Source organism: Homo sapiens, chromosome 2 (assembly GCF_000001405.40).
Source record: "Homo sapiens chromosome 2, GRCh38.p14 Primary Assembly".
NCBI lineage: Eukaryota > Metazoa > Chordata > Mammalia > Primates > Hominidae > Homo > Homo sapiens.
In genome coordinates, this window is record NC_000002.12 from 156,963,828 (window position 1) to 156,982,239 (window position 18,412).

The following is an 18,412-nucleotide window of genomic DNA, read 5'->3' on the forward strand; positions in this document are numbered from 1 at the left end:
TTTTTGGTTCCATATGAACTTTAAAGTAGTTTTTTCCAATTCTGTGAAGAAAGTCATTGGTAGCTTGATGGGGATGGCATTGAATCTATAAATTACCTTGGGCAGTATGGCCATTTTCACGATATTGATTCTTCCTACCCATGAGCATGGAATGTTCTTCCATTTCTTTGTATCCTCTTTTATTTTATTGAGCAGTGGTTTGTAGTTCTCCTTGAAGAGGTCCTTCACATCCCTTGTAAGTTGGATTCCTAGGTATTTTATTCTCTTTGAAGCAATTGTGAATAGGAGTTCACTCATGATTTGGCTGTCTGTTTGTCTGTTATTGGTGTATAAGAATGCTTGTGATTTTTGTACATTGATTTTGTATCCTGAGACTTTGCTGAAGTTGCTTATCAGCTTAAGATTTTGGGCTGAGACAATGGGGTTTTCTAGATATACAATCATGTCATCTGCAAACAGGGACAATTTGACTTCCTCATTTCCTAACTGAATACCCTTTATTTCCTTCTCCTGCCTAATGGCCCTGGCCAGAACTTCCAACACTATGTTGAATAGGAGTGGTGAGAGAGGGCATCCCTGTCTTGTGCCAGTTTTCAAAGGGAATGCTTCCAGTTTTTGCCCAGTATGATATTGGCTGTGGGTTTGTCATAGATAGCTCTTATTATTTTGAGATACGTCCCATCAATACCTAATTTATTGAGAGTTTTTAGCATGAAGGGTTGTTGAATTTTGTCAAAGGCCTTTTCTGCATCTATTGAGATAATCATGTGGTTTTTGTCTTTGGTTCTGTTTATATGCTGGATTACATTTATTGATTTGCGTATGTTGAAGCAGCCTTGCACCCCAGGGATGAAGCCCACTTGATCATGGTGGATAAGCTTTTGGATGTGCTGCTGGATTCGGTTTGCCAGTATTTAATTGAGGATTTTTGCATCAATGTTCATCAAGGATACTAGTCTAAAATTCTCTTTTTTGGTTGTGTCTCTGCCCGGCTTTGGTATCAGGATGATGCTGGCCTCATAAAATGAGTTAGGGAGGATTCCCTCTTTTTCTATTGATTGGAATAGTATCAGAAGGAATGGTACCAGTTCCTCCTTGTACCTCTGGTAGAATTCGGCTGTGAATCCATCTGGTCCTGGACTCTTTTTGGTTGGTAAGCTATTGATTATTGCCACAATTTCAGAGCCTGTTATTGGTCCATTCAGAGATTCAACTTCTTCCTGGTTTAGTCTTGGGAAAGTGTATGTGTCGAGGAATTTATCCATTTCTTCTAGATTTTCTAGTTTATTTGTGTAGAGCTGTTTGTAGTATTCTCTGATGGTAGTTTGTATTTTTGTGGGATCGGTGGTGATATCCCCTTTATCATTTTTTATTGCGTCTATTTGATTCTTCTCTCTTTTCTTCTTTATTAGTCTTGCTAGTGGTCTATCAATTTTGTTGATCCTTTCAGAAAACCAGCTCCTGGATTCATTAATTTTTTGAAGGGTTTTTTTTGTCTCTATTTCCTTCAGTTCTGCTCTGATTTTAGGTATTTCTTGCCTTCTGCTAGCTTTTGAATGTGTTTGCTCTTGCTTTTCTAGTTCTTTTAATTGTGATGTTAGGGTGTCAATTTTGGATCTTTCCTGCTTTCTCTTGTGGGCATTTAGTGCTATAAATTTCCCTCTACACACTGCTTTGAATGTGTCCCAGAGATTCTGGTATGTTGTGTCTTTGTTCTCGTTGGTTTCAAAGAACATCTTTATTTCTGCCTTCATTTCGTTATGTACCCAGTAGTCATTCAGGAGCAGGTTGTTCAGTTTCCATGTAGTTGAGCGGTTTTGAGTGAGTTTCTTAATCCTGAGTTCTAGTTTGATTGCACTGTGGTCTGAGAGACAGTTTGTTATAATTTCTCTTCTTTTACATTTGCCAAGGAGAGCTTTACTTCCAACTATGTGGTCAATTTTGGAATAGGTGTGGTGTGGTGCTGAAAAACATGTATATTCTGTTGATTTGGGGTGGAGAGTTCTGTAGATGTCTATTAGGTCCGCTTGGTGCAGAGCTGAGTTCAAGTCCTGGGTATCCTTGTTGACTTTATGTCTCATTGATCTGTCTGATGTTGACAGTGGGGTGTTAAAGTCTCCCATTATTATTGTGTGGGAGTCTAAGTCTCTTTGTAGGTCACTCAGGACTTGCTTGATGAATCTGGGTGCTCCTGTATGGGGTGCATATATCTTTAGGATAGTTAGCTCTTCTTGTGGAATTGATCCCTTTACCATTATGTAATGGCCTTCTTTATCTCTTTTGATCTTTGTTGGTTTAAAGTCTGTTTTATCAGAGACTAGGATTGCAACCCCTGCCTTTTTTTGTTTTCCATTGGCTTGGTAGATCTTCCTCCATCCTTTTATTTTGAGCCTATGTGTGTCTCTGCACGTGAGATGGGTTTCCTGAATACAGCACACTGATGGGTCTTGACTCTTTATCCAGTTTGCCAGTCTGTGTCTTTTAATTGGAGCATTTAGTCCATTTACATTTAAAGTTAATATTGTTATGTGTGAATTTGATCCTGTCATGATGATGTTAGCTGGTTATTTTGCTCATTAGTTGATGCAGTTTATTCCTAGCCTCGATGGTCTTTACAATTTGGCATGATTTTGCAGTGGCTGGTACCGGTTTTTCCTTTCCATGTTTAGTGCTTCCTTCAGGAGCTCTTGTAGGGCAGGCCTGGTGGTGAGAAAACCTCTCAGAATTTGCTTGTCTGTAAAGTATTTTATTTCTTCTTCACTTATGAAGCTTAGTTTGGCTGGATGTGAAATTCTGGGTTGAAAATTCTTTTCTTTAAGAATGTTGAATGTTGGCCCCCACTCTCCTCTGGCTTGTAGAGTTTCTGCTGTGAGATCCACTGTTAGTCTGATGGGTTTCCCTTTGGGGGTAACCCGACCTTTCTCTCTGACTGCCCTTAACCTTTTTTCCTTCATTTCAACTTTGGTGAATCTGACAATTATGTGTCTTGGAGTTGCTCTTCTTGAGGAGTATCTTTGTGGCATTCTCTGTATTTCCTGAATCTGAATGTTGGCCTGCCTTGCTAGATTGGGGAAGTTCTCCTGGATGATATCCTGCAGAGTGTTTTCCAACTTGGTTCCATTCTCCCCATCACTTTCAGGTACACCAATCAGACGTAGATTTGATCTTCTCACATAGTCCCATACTTCTTGGAGGCTTTGTTCATTTCTTTTTATTCTTTTTTCTCTAAACTTCCCTTCTCGCTTCATTTCATTCATTTCATCTTCCATCACTGATACCCTTTCTTCCAGTTGATCACATCGGCTCCTGAGACTTCTGCATTCTTCACATAGTTCTCGAGCCTTGGCTTTCAGCTCCATCAGCTCCTTTAAGCACTTCTCTGTATTGGTTATTCTAGTTATACATTCGTCTAAGTTTTTTTCAAAGTTTTTAACTTCTTTGCCTTTGGTTTGAATTTCCTCCTGTAGCTCAGAGTAGGTTGATCGTCTGAAGCCTTCTTCTCTCAACTCGTCAAAGTCATTCTCCGTCTAACTTTGTTCCATTGCTGGTGAGGAACTGCGTTCCTCTGGAGGAGAAGAGGCACTCTGCTTTTTAGAGTTTCCAGTTTTTCTGCTGTGTTTTTTCCCCATCTTTGTGGTCTTATCCACCTTTGGTCTTTGATGATGGTGATGTACAGATGGGTTTTTGGTGTGGATGTCCTTTCTGTTTGTTAGTTTTCCTTCTAACAGACAGGACCCTCAGCTGCAGGTCTGTTGGAGTTTGCTAGAGGTCCACTCCAGACCCTGTTTGCCTGGGTATCAGCAGCAGTGGCTGCAGAACAGTGGATTTTCGTGAACCGCGAATGCTGCTGTCTGATCATTCCTCTGTAATTTTTGTCTCAGAGGAGTACCCGGCCGTGTGAGGTGTCAGTCTGCCCCTACTGGGGGGTGCCTCCCAGTGAGGCTGCTTGGGGGTCGGGGTCAGGGACCCACTTGAGGAGGCAGTCTGCCCATTCTGAGATCTCCAGCTGCGTACTGGGAGAACCACTGCTCTCTTCAAAGCTGTCAGACAGGGACATTTAAGTCTGCAGAGGTTACTGCTGTCTTTTTGTTTGTCTGTGCCCTGCCCCCAGAGGTGGAGCCTACAGAGGCAGGCAGGCCTCCTTGAGCTGTGGTGGGCTCCACCCAGTTCTAGCTTCCCGGGTGCTTTGTTTACCTAAGCAAGCCTGGGCAATGGCGGGTGCCCCTCCCTGAGCCTCACTGCTGCCTTGCAGTTTGATCTCAGACTGCTGTGCTAGCAATCAGCGAGACTCCATGAGCATAGGACCCTCCAAGCCAGGTGCGGGATATAATCTCCTGGTGCGCCGTTTTTTAAGCCCGTCGGAAAAGCGCAGTATTAGGATGGGAGTGACCCGATTTTCCAGGTGCCGTCTGTCACCCCTTTCTTTGACTAGGAAAGGGAACTCCCTGACCCCTTGCGCTTCCCGAGTGAGGCAATGCCTCGCCCTGCTTCGGCTCGCGCATGGTGCGCTGCACCCACTGACCTGCGCCCACTGTCTGGCACTCCCTAGTGAGATGAACCTGGTACCTCAGATGGAAATGCAGAAATCACCCGTCTTCTGCGTCGCTCACGCTGGGAGCTGTAGACCAGAGCTGTTCCTATTCGGCCATCTTGGCTGCCAGACCTCAATGATAAATTATCTTGACAAAAAAGCAATTAGGTAAATTTAAACTCCAGTATTACAATCACCAATATAAAATATGCATACTTGCTTTATTTTAAAAGAAAAACAAAAAAGCCACTTGTGGAGCAATAGGTTCAAGAATAGGTCTAAGAATGAGGAAGAAAGGGTCATTCATGTATAGTTTAAATGATTAGGCCAAACCAATTATAAATTTTAAAGAATTGAAACCCTTTTAATGCGGTATAGTAGTACCTGAATTACCTCTGGCTTCCTAAAACCAGACTTAAATAAAAAAAAAAAAAGACTCATAGCATTAACAATACATGCATTTATAAAGCTGCATTTTATTGCTAATGGTTTAAATTGGTATTCCATTGTTAATGCTGAATGAATCTGTAAAAGTAATAATATTCAGAATGATGCAAAAATTAGCAGGCATATTTTGAGAAACCATCTATATGGGAACAAAAGAAAAAGCACTTAAATTGACACGTCTGAAAGAACATTGATAATATTTAAAACTACTTTATATATAGGTATTGTTTATATTTTTATTGTAAAATAAATATATGTACATTAAAATTTAGAAAATAAAGCATAAAGAAAAAAATCTTTCATACTCTCACTGTTATAATTGATGTTTTTATATTATTATATATTGATTATATAAATATTAACAATTTTCCTTCCTGTCCTTTTTCTTTTTGTAAATATACTGCCCCCCAAAGTTGAGATCATATTCTACATTGATTTTATTTTGCTTAGATTTACTTAAGCATAACAAATGCTTATATGTTTATATCATATTAAATATTTCCCCAAGCCATAAAAATTCCTTCAACTACATTGTGTTTGTTGTTTTATATTCCACCTTTCGCATGTATCCTAATACATTTAAACATTTCCATAAAGTCAGACATTTGGGTTTGTTTCCAGTTTTTCAGTATTATAAATAACACTTCAGTAAACAATATTATACATACATTTTTGTCCACATTTCTAATCTTTTCCTTAGGAAAATTTTCTGAAAGTAAAATTTCAAAGTAAAAGGATATGAAATTTCATAGATTCTGGACACTTCATTCCAGAGTCTTTATCAGTTTACACTCACAAATGTGCCTGACAAAAACACGGGGGGATTTTTGTAAAGAATAGATCCTATTTTGTACCAAGAGTATCTGATAACATCCATACAAGTTTCCATAAGGTTATGTATTCAACAACAAGGGCAGTTTCCCTAAAGAAAAGATGAAGAAATTTTTATTTCTTCCCCCAAACAAATCGTTGCAATTTCCTTTTGAGGTGTCAACTCTCCCCCTCTTTGTTTTGTTTTGTTTTGTTTTCTCTAGCTGTAGAAATCTCATCCAAAGAGGCTATGTGAAGTCTGAACTAATTCGTCTTCCACATATGACTTACTGCTTCCTACCACCAGGCAGAATAAATTGTGTTCCCAATTTAAATCTGTGTGTTCCTAACCAAAGAAGGCATCTTGATGTGATGGAAAGAAAATCAACTCTGCCTTGGGAAAAGAGAGTTCCAGGCTCTCCTCTAGCACACTTGAGGCTAAATCCTCTGAGGCTGAGCTTTTACATTCCCAGGCTAATCATACCATTTCACAAGATGATTATAAAAATTAGAAAATAATGAGAAGGTTAGTAGACTCTAATATTAATTAGCACTGAGCGCTGTCTTTATTTTGATGAGGTATGAGTAAAAGAGCCAAAAAAATGTTAGATCTAAAACCAAATTACATCCTAAGTGGATTTAGTTCTAAATTCATTTACAACCAAAATAATTCACTCCCATTCCTTAGGTAAATTGAAATTCACACCCATTCCTTAGTTAACATGAGCTGTACTTTGAAAACAAAAACATGAACGGACTTTTGAAGTTCAGAATTTCTTTACTTATGTCTTTTAAAAAATCTATGTCTAGAAGAAAAACACACATTGAGAAGACACTTTCAAAAGCCAGACATTATTACTAAATCATGTACACCACTTCTGCAAAGGTAGTTGCTTCATTTTATGTTAAGTTCTGTACCAAAACTTCACTGGAATTGATTTTTTATTGCTTTAAAAACGAAGTCTATGTCTATTCAAATTGCTTCTAATACAACGTAGGCATGTAAAAAGTTTTCTATATTTTACTCCATTTTCTTCCTGTGATCTATAAAAAGGAAATTTAGGGCTTACAATTTCTCTGTAATGGTTGGAAGACTGGAATGAAAGAGATATTTTCTGAGCTGCACCAAACTGTTAAAATGTAGTCAATTTCAGCAACAATTGTATCCTTAATGAGATTTAAGAGGAAGGAAAGGGATTGTGAATAATTTTGGCACTGTCTTGTCTTTCACCAGTTGCTGCTAATCTTTTGAAAGGTTTTCTATTTTTGACCTACATTCAGATGAACCCTGCTGCTTGACAAAGCTTGTTTTCAAGTTTGATTCACAAGAGCATTGCAGGGACTCCAAGGATTGAAGGTAATTCTCCTAGAAATATAAAAGTTGCAGTTGGATAATTAACTACTTCCACAGGAAACTTGAAGTACCTAGAAATCTGACTTTCCAGGACAGCATCATTCTATTGGTAGAGTGGAAGAAACAAAGCCTGTATCTCAGCATGCTCTTCACTGAAAACTGAAGTCAGTAGCCTGTGGGGCCGAGTCAATGGATCAGTGGGGCATGAGAAAGCTAAGACAAACCCTGGGAAACAAGATGCAATTACTCTGTGTCAAAACCAACCTCAGGACTCAAAATACTGATGTTTGAATGATCCCTGCAAACCACATTTCTTGCAAGTGTCCGTTGTAAAATGGTGGACTTATGACTTGAATACTTGCTGGCTTAAGACTCCTACTTTATGACTACTTCTGAGGGACTATGCTCCATTTCCTTTCCCATGTTTGTAATGTGAAAGGTCCACTTTACCTATCACCATGTCTCTGAGAGACTTCTCTGAATTCTCAGTTTTTTATACCATTTAAATAAATGTGATATTCCATTCGACTTCAATGTTGTCATAATTATTTGGGGACACCAATAGACTACATTATCACTAGATAATAGATAAATTAATGTTTAGTAAATCACATAACTAGGATTGTATACTATTATGTACACAAATGGAACTTGCAGATTAACATTCCTTCTTTCATGATCCATGTTGTAAATGTTTTCTGGCTTCTCTCTATAGGTTTCCAAGGAGGTGCCTTAGGTTGCAGATCTCTGGTTAATGACCAGATTCAACCTATCCATGAGAGAAGTTCCACTTTATCTTTTAAATACAGTGCTTTCTTGAAAGATTTCTTTTGAAATAAGTGTTCTACTCCAGACAAAACAAAACAAACAAAAACAACCAGCACTAACTACCTACAACTCTTTTAGTAGTTTTAACTGATATTTTAACTCTATATTTGTATTCAGGAGATGTGTATTGCTGTTGTTCATTTTCAGTTTTAGATTTTTTTTTCAGTCCCAGTCTAGTCAAGAGATAGAAATCATACCAACTGGTTCATCAGAAAAAAATTAATACAAAGAATTGTTAACCAGATATAAATAATAATTAGCTAAGTAACTGCAAAGGCTAAAAAGAAAATTAAGTTACCAAAAAGGTACTGACTACACGAAGCAGTTACCCACCCTGTGGCTATTGGAACAGAGTGAAGAGGTTAGAATTGTTTGAAGTTTGGAAGGGGTGTCCCATGGGGTTGGAACTCAGATCTCTGAGGAGGGGATGCCAGCAGACTACTGGGTGTCTCTAAAGGCCCTTGCAATAAGACTGCTTTTGCAAGTCAGGATGAAACTCAAAACTGAATTTAACTGGAATTAAATGTTGTTGCTGAGGTGAAGAATATTATCTATTGTCTATGTATGAGGAAGACTTAATTCTCTTACATTCTGCACCTCTCCATCCCCCTGCTTACCTTTGTCACTCCCTGCAACTCCTCTCCTCTCTAATATACACAGTCAATATTAATACACACCATAGTTACATCATTATCTCAGTTTAATCCATTATTTCAGTGTTTACATTATTTTGTCTTTGTAAATATTATTCACAGCTGAGCAACATAATGGACTATGAATAACTTATGAATGCAATATTTATCATCCTTGGAGTTAATAATTTCTTGGGTATTTTTTTCTTTGCCTGCTTGCTTTTCAGTGTTCTTCTCCTGGATGCACCCTCTGACTCTCTATACACAAATTCATCAGGTGATATATTTTTTTTTCTTTGATGCATACCTGTGGGTCCTCCTGCTCCATCTGGACTGGTTGTTCTGTAATCAGCAGTACAGTTGTCCTTGTGGGGTCCCCATTGCCACTGTCAGCTCTCAGTGTGGCTCTGCTTTTTCTGTGGCCAGGGTTTCTGGTATACCTGATTTACTACAAGCATTCTGAAATTTCACAATAATATCCATTGAGGTGGTCTTTTTCCCCTTTTTCATGCTAAACCCTCAGTGGACCTTTCAATACTGAAATTCATAGCCTTATGTCTTGGAAATTTCTATTTTATTTCTCTGATAACCACAACCGTCTCCATTTTATTTGTCCCTATCTTCTGGAATTCCTACCATCCATATATTAGAACTCCTTAAACAATTATCAAATTTTCTCTCATATTTTGAATCTGTCATTTTAGTTTAGTTTCTGGGAGATTTTTTTCTACTTTGTCTTCCAACTTTTCTACTTATTTTTAAATATTTTCTATCTCATGTTTAATAATCAAGATTTTTTGGAGGGCATTGTTTTGTAAACATTACTTTTGTACAACTTCTTCCATGGATGTTTTTAAATCTTTCTATAGTTCGTGAGCACATGCTTTAAATATTTTTTACTCTCAATCTCTATGTATTGGTCTATTCTCTGCTTTCTCTGAGTTGCTTTTCTGTTTGTTTGGTTTGTTTTCTGTTTTCATCTTTAAGATTTTCTTCAAATGTTGAGGCATCTTTGGAGTTGGTTCATATTTAAGAGCAAAACACTAGACAGCTGATTAGAAGCTCAGATACCCTCTAGTAGGCTTCACTGGAGAGTGATTGAGTGGGACATGGCCATTTTGCTGAGGGTAGGGTGCAAGTACCTTCCCTTAGACCAGTCTCTCTATAGGAAGGCTAGCAGGGATCTTGGCACCAGGTTGGGGAGCAGGGACTCTGACTAGAACCCATTGTGTTCCATATGACCTCTCCCTATCTCCCAATCTCCACATTCCAAAAGTGGGATCAGTACCCAAGGTTGATGTTCTAGTCCAGCCTTTCTTTATACTTAACTGTAATTGTACATGAGCAAGAAGGCATCTAGATTACTAACTTAACTTATCCAGCCTTTCAGACATTCCTCATGTTTTCAGTCCATATTCTCCCATATGGCAATGTCAGGAACCTTTTGTTCCTGAGACTTTTCAGGGTATTGTGAGACACAAATAGGCTTTCTCAATACCCTGTCAAATTAATTACCATCAGTACATTTGCTTTCCAGCTATTAATATTTTGTTGACCTATCTTTTCTGCTGCAATTGCTGCTTCTATTTAATTTGCCTCTGTGAGTTTTTTACTTTATTCCTCCACTATCATTGTAGTGGAGAATTTGGAAGTAGCAGCATTAAAAGCAAATATCCAATCCACTCTCAATCTACTGTAACAGAATTGTCAATTCAACTTATTTAATGACTATTATTTTGCTAAGTATTTTTCTTTTTATTGAGTTAACAATTTGTGTTTAACTGTTTTACTAAGATTTCAAATGTGGGTATTGACATGGAGTTTTTTTTTGTCATTTTCAGATAAATTTTAAGCCTTTTTAAAATTAATAATTATGGCCATATTTGTGTGGGTATATTTCAGAGTCTCAATTCTGTTCCATTTGTATGTTTGTCTTTACGCCAGTATCTTTATGCCAGTAACTTTGTAATGTGTTTTAAAATTAGAAAATGCAAAGCCTCCAGCTTTGTTTTTTCTCATGATTCTTTTGGCTGTATGAGGCCCTTTGTGAGTCCAAATAAATTTTAGGATTCTTTTTTCTATTTCTGTAAATATCATTGGGATTTTGATAGGGACCAGATTCAATCTGTAGATTCCCTTGGGTATGCAGACATTTTAAAAAATATTAAGTCTTCTGATCCATAAACACAACATCTTTCCATTTATTTGGCTCTGTTTTTCAACAACATTTGTAATTTTTCAGTATACAAATCTTTTATCTCCTTGGTTAAGTTTATTCTTATTTTATTCTTTTTGATGCATTTGTAAATGAAATTATCTTAATTTCTTTTTCAGATTTTTTATTGGTAGAGTATAGAAAAGCATTTACTTTTGTATGTTGATTTCATGTCCTCCAACTTTGCTATATTCTTTTATTAGTTCTAATGGATTATTGTGGTGGAATTTTTAGGGTTTTCTACGTATAAGATTATGCCATCTGTGAAGAAGATAATTTTACTTCTTCCTCTCTGATTCAGATGCCTTTTATTTCTTTTTGTTGCCGAATTGCTCTGGCTAGTATTTCCAGTACAATGTTGAATAGAAGTAGTGAGAGTGAACATCCTTGTCTTGTTCCTGAGCTTAGAGGAGAGGCTTTCAGCTTTTTATCATTGAGTAAAATGTTAGCTGTGGGATTCTAATATATGGCTTTTATTATGTTGAGGTAATTTCCTTCTATTCCTAGTTTGTTGAGTGTTATTATCATAGAAGGGTATTGAATTTTGTCAAATACTGTGCATGTTTTGAGATGATCATGTAATTTTTGTCCTTCATTCTATTAATGTGGTATATCACAATGGTTGATTTTTACCTGTTGAACCATCCTTGCATCTCAGGGGTATGTTCCATTAGGTCATGGTATATGATCCTTTTAATATGCTGTTGAAATTGGTTTTTCAATATTTTGTTGAGGATTTTTGCCTCTATATTCATTAGGGATATTGAGCCGCAGTTTTCTTTTATTGCAGTATCTTTTTCTAGGTTTGGTAAGAAGATGATGCTGGCATTGTGAGGTGAGTTTAGAAGGGTTGCATCCTCTTTAGGTTTTTGGAGGAGTTGGAGAAGGACTGAATAATTGGCAGAATTCACCAGTGAAGCCCTCTGGTCCTAGGCTTTTCATTATTGGGAGATTTTTGATAATTAATTCAATCTCAATACTGGTTATTGGTCTGCTCAACTTTTCAATTTTTTTCAATATTCAGTCTTGGTAGATTATATGTTTTAAGGAATTTATCCATTTCTTCTAGATTATCCAGTTTGCTGGTCTATAATTGTTGATGGTAGTCTCTTATAATCATTGTAATTTTTGTGGCAAAAGTTGTAATATCCCCTCTTTCATTTCTGATTTTAAGTATTCATATCTTCTCTTTTTAAAATTAATGTAGCGAAAGTTTTGTTCTTTGTTGATCTTAAAAAAACCAACTTAATTTTGTTGATTTTTTTCTATTCTCTATTTCATTTATTTCTGTTCTTATCTTAATTGTATCCTTCTTTCTGCTCACTTTGGCCTTATTTCCATCTATTTTTGAATTTCTTAAAATGTAAATTTAGGTTGTTAATTTGAGTTTTTTTTTCTTTTTAATGTGGGCATTTATCACTATACATTTCCCTCTTGGTACTGCTTTTTCTGCCTCCCCTTAGTTTTGGTATGTTGCAATTTCATTTCCATTTGTCTTAGATTATTTCTAATCTCTCTTTAGATTTCTTTTTTGAGCCATTGGTTGCTCAAAAGTGTGTTGTTTTATGTCCATCTATTTGTATTTTTTCTAATTTTCCTTCTGCCATTAATTCTAGTTTCATTTCATTGTGGTCAGAAAAGATACCTGATATAATTTCAATCTTTTAAAATTTGTTAAGACTTGCCTTTTGAGCTCTCGTTTCATTTCACTGTGGTCAGAAAAGACATCTGATATAACTTCAATCTTTTAAAATTTGTTAAGACTTGATTTTTGAGCTCAGTTATGATCTATCTTGAATAATGTTATGTGCACACTTGGGAAGAATGAGTATTTTGCTGCTATTGTGTAAAATGTTCTGTATATTTCTGTTAGGTCCCTTTGGTCTATAGTATTGATTTCTTTGATCTTTGATCCCTTATTGATCTTCTGTCTAGATATTCTATCTTCTATTGAAGGTGAAGTATTGAAATCCTTATTATTAAGTATCATCGTCCATTTCTATATTCAGTTCAGCCAATGTTTGTTTCATGTATTTTGGTGTCTGATTTTGTATGCATATATGTTTATAATTGTTATATCTTAAAGAATTGATCCTTTTATTATATAATGTCCTCCTTTGTCTCTTTTGACATTTTTTGAATTAAAGTTTATTTTGTTTTATATAAGTAAAGCCACCCTTGCTCTTTTTGTTGCCATTTGCGTAGAATATCTATATCCGTTCTTTCACTTTCAGCCTATGTGTGTCCTTAAATTAATTAATTAATTAACTAATTTTTTTTGAGACTGCATCTTGCTCTGTCACTGAGGCTGGAGTGCAGTGGTGCAATCTCAGCTCACTGCATCCTCTGCCTCCTGGGTTCAAGCATTTCTCCTGTCTCAGCCTCCCAAGTAGCTGGGATTACAGGTGCAAGCCACCACACCCAACTAATTTTTTATATTTTTGGTAGAGACGGGGTTTCACCATGTTGGCCAGGCTTGTCTCAAACTTCTGACCTCAAGAGATCCTCCTGCCTTGGCCTCCAAAACTGCTGGTATTATAGGCATGAGCCACTGTGCCTGGCTTTATGTGTCCCTAAATTTAAAGTGAGTCTCTTGTAGATAGCATATAGTTGGATTTTTAAAAAAATCTATGTTGTCTCTATGCCTTTTAATAGGAAACTTAATCCATTTATACTTAAAGTAATTATTGATAGAGAAAGACTTACTAGTGCCACTTTGTTAATTGTTTTTCTGTTCATCTTATAAGGTTTTTTGTTCTTCTTTTTCTCTATTACTGTCTTTCTTCATGTTTCACTAATTTTTTTTGGTACTGACATGCTTTTATACTTTTTTCATATCCTTTGTGCATCTTCTATAGGTATTATCTTTGTTTTTACCATGGGGATTATGTAAAATTTCTTATATTTATAACAATCCATTTTAAGATAACAGGAACTTAACTTTAATTGCATGCAAGTATTTTACACTTTTACTTCTCACACACACACTTTATTACTGATGTCACAAATTACATCTTTTTTATGTTATGTAACCACTAATGTATTTTTGAGTTGCATATTTCTTTTTTAAATTTTTATTATTATTATTATTTTTGAGATGGAGTCTCACTCTGTCACCCAGGCTGGAATGCAGTGGTGCGATCTCAGCTCACTGCAAGCTCTGCCTCCTGGGTTCACGCCATTCTCCTGCCTCAGCCTCCTGAGTAGCTGGGACTACAGGCGCCTGCCACCACGCCTGGCTAATATTTTTGTGTTTTTAGTAGAGACGGGGTTTCACCGTGTTAGCCAGGATGGTCTCGATCTCCTGACCTCGTGATCCGCCTGCCTTGGCCTCCCAAAGTGCTGGGATTACAGGCATGAGCCACTGAGCCGGCCTATTTTTTGTTTTTTGACTTCTATATTATAACTAAAAAGGATTTACTTGCCACCATTACAGTATAACAATACTCTGTATTTGTCTATATATTTACCTTTATCAGAAAACTTTATATTTTCAATTTTTTGTGTTGCTATTTAGTATCCTTTTGTTTCAACTTGAAAGTTCTCCCTTTAGTATTTCCTATAAGGCAGGTCTACTGCGGTTGAACTCCATTGCTTTTGTTTATCTGGCAGTCTTCATTTCTGCTTGATTTTCAAAAGATAGTTTGGATGACTTTAGTATTCTTGATTGACAGTATTTTTTTTCTCTTAATGATCTGAATATGTCATCCCATTTCTTTCTACCCTGAAACATTTCTGCAGAGAAATCTACTCATCATCTTATGGAGGAGAATGAGGAGAGTTTCCCTTGTATGTGATGAGTTGCTTTTTTCTCTTGCTGTTTTGAAAATTATCTCTTTGTCTTTGACTTTTCACAAAATAATCATTGTGATCATTTGTAATAATAATGTTCCTGTCTGTGAATTCTCTGAGTTAGTTGCAGTAAGAGAATTTGTTTGGCTTCTCGAATCCTTCCTTAGATTTGAAAAGTTTTCATCCATTATTTTTTAAAAATCAACTTCCTTGTCCTTTCTTTTTCTCTTTTCTTTCTGAATATTTCATAATGCACATATTGGTTCTCTCAATGGTACCCCTTAAGTCCCTTAGGCCTTCATTCTTCCTTACCATTATTTTTCCCTTTTGTTCTTCTAGCTGGATAATTTCAAATGACCCATATTTGAGTTCATTGATTCTTTCTTCTGCTTGATCAAGTCTTCTTTGAACTACTCTAGTGAATTACTGTGTTCTTCAGCTCCAAAATATCTACTCGGTTCTCTTTTATATTCCTTTTTCTCTGTTGATAGTGTAATTTTGATCATGCATGGTTTTCTTGAACTAGTGGAACATATTTTCCCAGTCTTTATGGACTGGATTTGTAAAGGAAAAAAAAAAACCTCACCATTCAGTCTGGCTAGAGATTCTGGAGCCTCTAAACCTTTTTAGGGAGATCTAACTTCTCTAGTTCTGTGCATACAGTTGCTCAATTAAAGAGACACTGGTTTCTTTTTCAGTAGTTCGTGATCCTTCAATCCCTCTGGCATTTGTCTATGGCACTGCAGATTCTATGCTTCTACTGCAGCAAGCCTCACTGCTCACCCTTATTCTCAGTGGCCTCCAGGCATCCAAACTATGCCAGCTCCCTGTCAGCGTCCCAAGTCAGACAAAACAGGTATCAGTTCTTTGGACATCCCTCAAAAGACCTGGCATGTCAGATTCAGTCTCTACCCATCTCCCTGCTTTCTAAGGAGGAAGCCTTGAGTTATGCAATAATTAAACCCAACTGTGCTGGCCACAGTAAGCCTCTTCCATCACTTTTCCCCCTTCTTTGTTCTCAGTTTCTTCCAGGCATCCAAACATGCCAGTTCCATCAGCACTTCAAATGGAGCAAGACAGAAATTAATCCCTCAGGCAGCCCTTCGAAAAGCCAAACATTGGACACTCCTTCCACCCTTCTCTTTCCAAACTAAGCTGTCCTCTCCTGGTGCTGAGCTGTACTGCTTTGGGGTAGGAGCTGATGTGGGTAAAATGAAATTGCTCTTCTTACTTATTATTTTATTATGACTGTTCTTGGCTTTGTGTTTGCCTGAGGTACTGCCTCTTAACTGGATTCTGGAATTCTCATAAAAGTATTTTATTTAATATATATTTTTAAGTTGGTGTTTTGGTGACAGAACAAGGGCTGAGGATTTATATTCCATCTTTCTGATGTCATCTCCCTTCAATCCTTTAATATGTAAGTTTAATGCATTTTATTTAATATGTCTACTGATATGTTTGCACTTATTTTTACTTGATTTTTAATTTAAATTTCTTTGCTATTAATTTTCTATTTTATTCCTTTCTCTTTCTACCTTCAGTAGAATTGAATAGTTCTGCTATATTAATTTTATTAGTTTGGAAGCTTTATAATTTTTTTCATTCTTTTAATTATTATACCTATTTTAAAAAATACATAAATACCTAAGTAGGTTTTTCTTAATAACAGTCTAAAGTTATTTATTATTTTATTCACCTAAGCATGACAGAGATCTTAACACATTTTAGTTTTCCACAGAGCATCTCATTAACACTCAATCTTGTCAACATTGCCTAGACATTTTCATGTTTTTTTCTATTGATACAAAAGCTCTACTTGTTTTACATTTACTGATAATTTTAATAAAGTTCTGTGTTCGTTATTATTTTTCTCACCTCTTCCCTTTGAAGTCATGTAACTTTTTCCTAAGTAAATAATTCTATTAATACTAGTTCCTTCAGCAAAAATATGTAAGTGATTATTTTTCTGAATGTAATAATGTTTATTTCTTCCTCATTTTGATGGTAATCAACTTTATATTGAATTCCAGGTTGACAATAATTTTTCCTAGGCGCTTCAGAGATATTACTGTATTATCTACTGGCATCTATTCTTGCTGTTGAGATTTTTGTTTTAATACCATTGTAAATAATACATATTTTCTAAACGTTTTAAGATTTTTTTTCCCTTGATCTTTGATAATGCAGCATCATTGAAATGTGACTAAGGATGCTTTTATTTTTGTTCATCCTACTCAGGACTTGGTAAGTCTTACAATTTTATTTTTTTTAATTCTGGAAAGTTTTAGCTGTTACTTCTTTAAATATTATTCTTTTACAAATTTCAAAATTTCATTCCGGAATTAATATTGGAGCTCCTCTATGTGCTTTCAGAACTGCTTTTTCAACTTTTACCTCTATTTTTCTGTGTTACAATCCAGATAAGTTTTTTAGCATAAAATTCCAATGTCTTTTTAAAATTGTATCTAATGTAAAGTTGTAGTGTCTATTGTGACAAGTTAAAAACTTAACCATCTATATCAATTCCAAATTCTCTAATTAATTTTTTATATCCACTCCTTTTTGCTGCACGAACAGCTATTTTAGTGTTATAATTTTTTGTTTATTAAAATGAAAGTTATAACTATATCTCTGAGCACACTCAAGTCAACATTTTTACTTCAAATTATTTTTCAGATTGTGACATAAAGTTAAATTTACTTAAGATCAACTTATGATAGTAGGCTATTGTGAATGAAATTTTTGTTTGTTTGTTTTTTCTCTTTCTCTGCTCACATTTCTTTTAGCAGTGGTTTTTGAAGTTTTCTCACCAGGCTCCTATGCCCTTAGTACAGAAACAACACTTAAGGATTTCTGTTTTAGTATAATGTAAAAGACGGTATATACACAATCATCATTCTAGTGAACTACTTTGTTCAATTTCTGGTCAGGAGACACTCTTTGTTCCCTCATCTCTAGGCCCAGCTTGCTACAACAGAATCCAAATGGAATTTAGCAATAGTTACTAATTTTAAAAAGTGAGTCTGACTCTTGTTCTTTATCTACTGGGAAATACTTTTCAGCCTTCTTTGAGCCATAGGTGCCAAAGTCTGACTGCTTTTACATACTTCTAGGTCTGCAGCCCACAAATCTTGTAGCTTTATCATTATTATTTTTTTCTTTTTCTGATCTTTAGAGATGCATACCTCAGTGCTCTTATGTCTAATCTTATAGCTTATTGCTTGATCTTATGAGTAGACTAGAAATGTGCCTTAAAACATAAACTCATTGGACCTTTTGAAGTGATGTTCCTGTCTATCATTTTGTGTATGCTTTTTGCAAATCCCATTGATCTACCCAGTGTAAGTTACTTCATTTCATTTCACTTCACTTTACTTCACTTCACTTCTTTATTTTTGAGACAGTCTCACTCTGTCACCCAGGCTGGAGTGCAGTGGCGTGATCTCGGCTCACTGCCAGCTCCGCCTCCCGGGTTCACGTCATTCTTCTGCCTCAGCCTCCCCAGTAGCTGGGATTACAGGTGCCTGCCACCACACCAGGCTAATTTTTTGTTTTTTAGTAGAGACGGAGTTTCACCATGTTAGCCAGGGTGGTCTCGATCTCCTGATCTCGTGATCTGCCCACCTCAGCCTCCCAAAGTGCTGGGATTACAGGCGTGAGCCACTGCGCCTGGCCAACTTCACTTCACTTCTAAACAGTTGAGCAATGCTGGTAACAATAGGTGTCCATTTTAAGCTTATGACTTTATCTGTTTTTCAGAACAGAATTTTGTTTCATCTTCCTGACCCTCCCAAGCCTCT

The 18,412-nt window shown here is 36.3% G+C and overlaps 1 long non-coding RNA gene across 2 annotated transcripts in view; it reads right to left on the reverse strand.

Moving 5' to 3' along the window:
• Positions 1-4,566: 4,566 nt before the first annotated feature.
• LOC105373710 (uncharacterized) overlaps positions 4,567-18,412 on the reverse strand; it is an 87,864-nt gene continuing 74,018 nt past the window's right edge. The window contains exons 3-4 of one of the 2 annotated variants that reach the window (XR_923509.3): positions 8,910-9,061; positions 4,593-4,679 (exon numbers count right to left, since the gene is read on the reverse strand). This is a non-coding gene — a long non-coding RNA (uncharacterized LOC105373710). Of the gene's footprint in view, positions 4,680-8,909; positions 9,062-18,412 lie in introns of both variants that reach the window. The other variant, XR_923510.3, reaches the window with a different exon arrangement.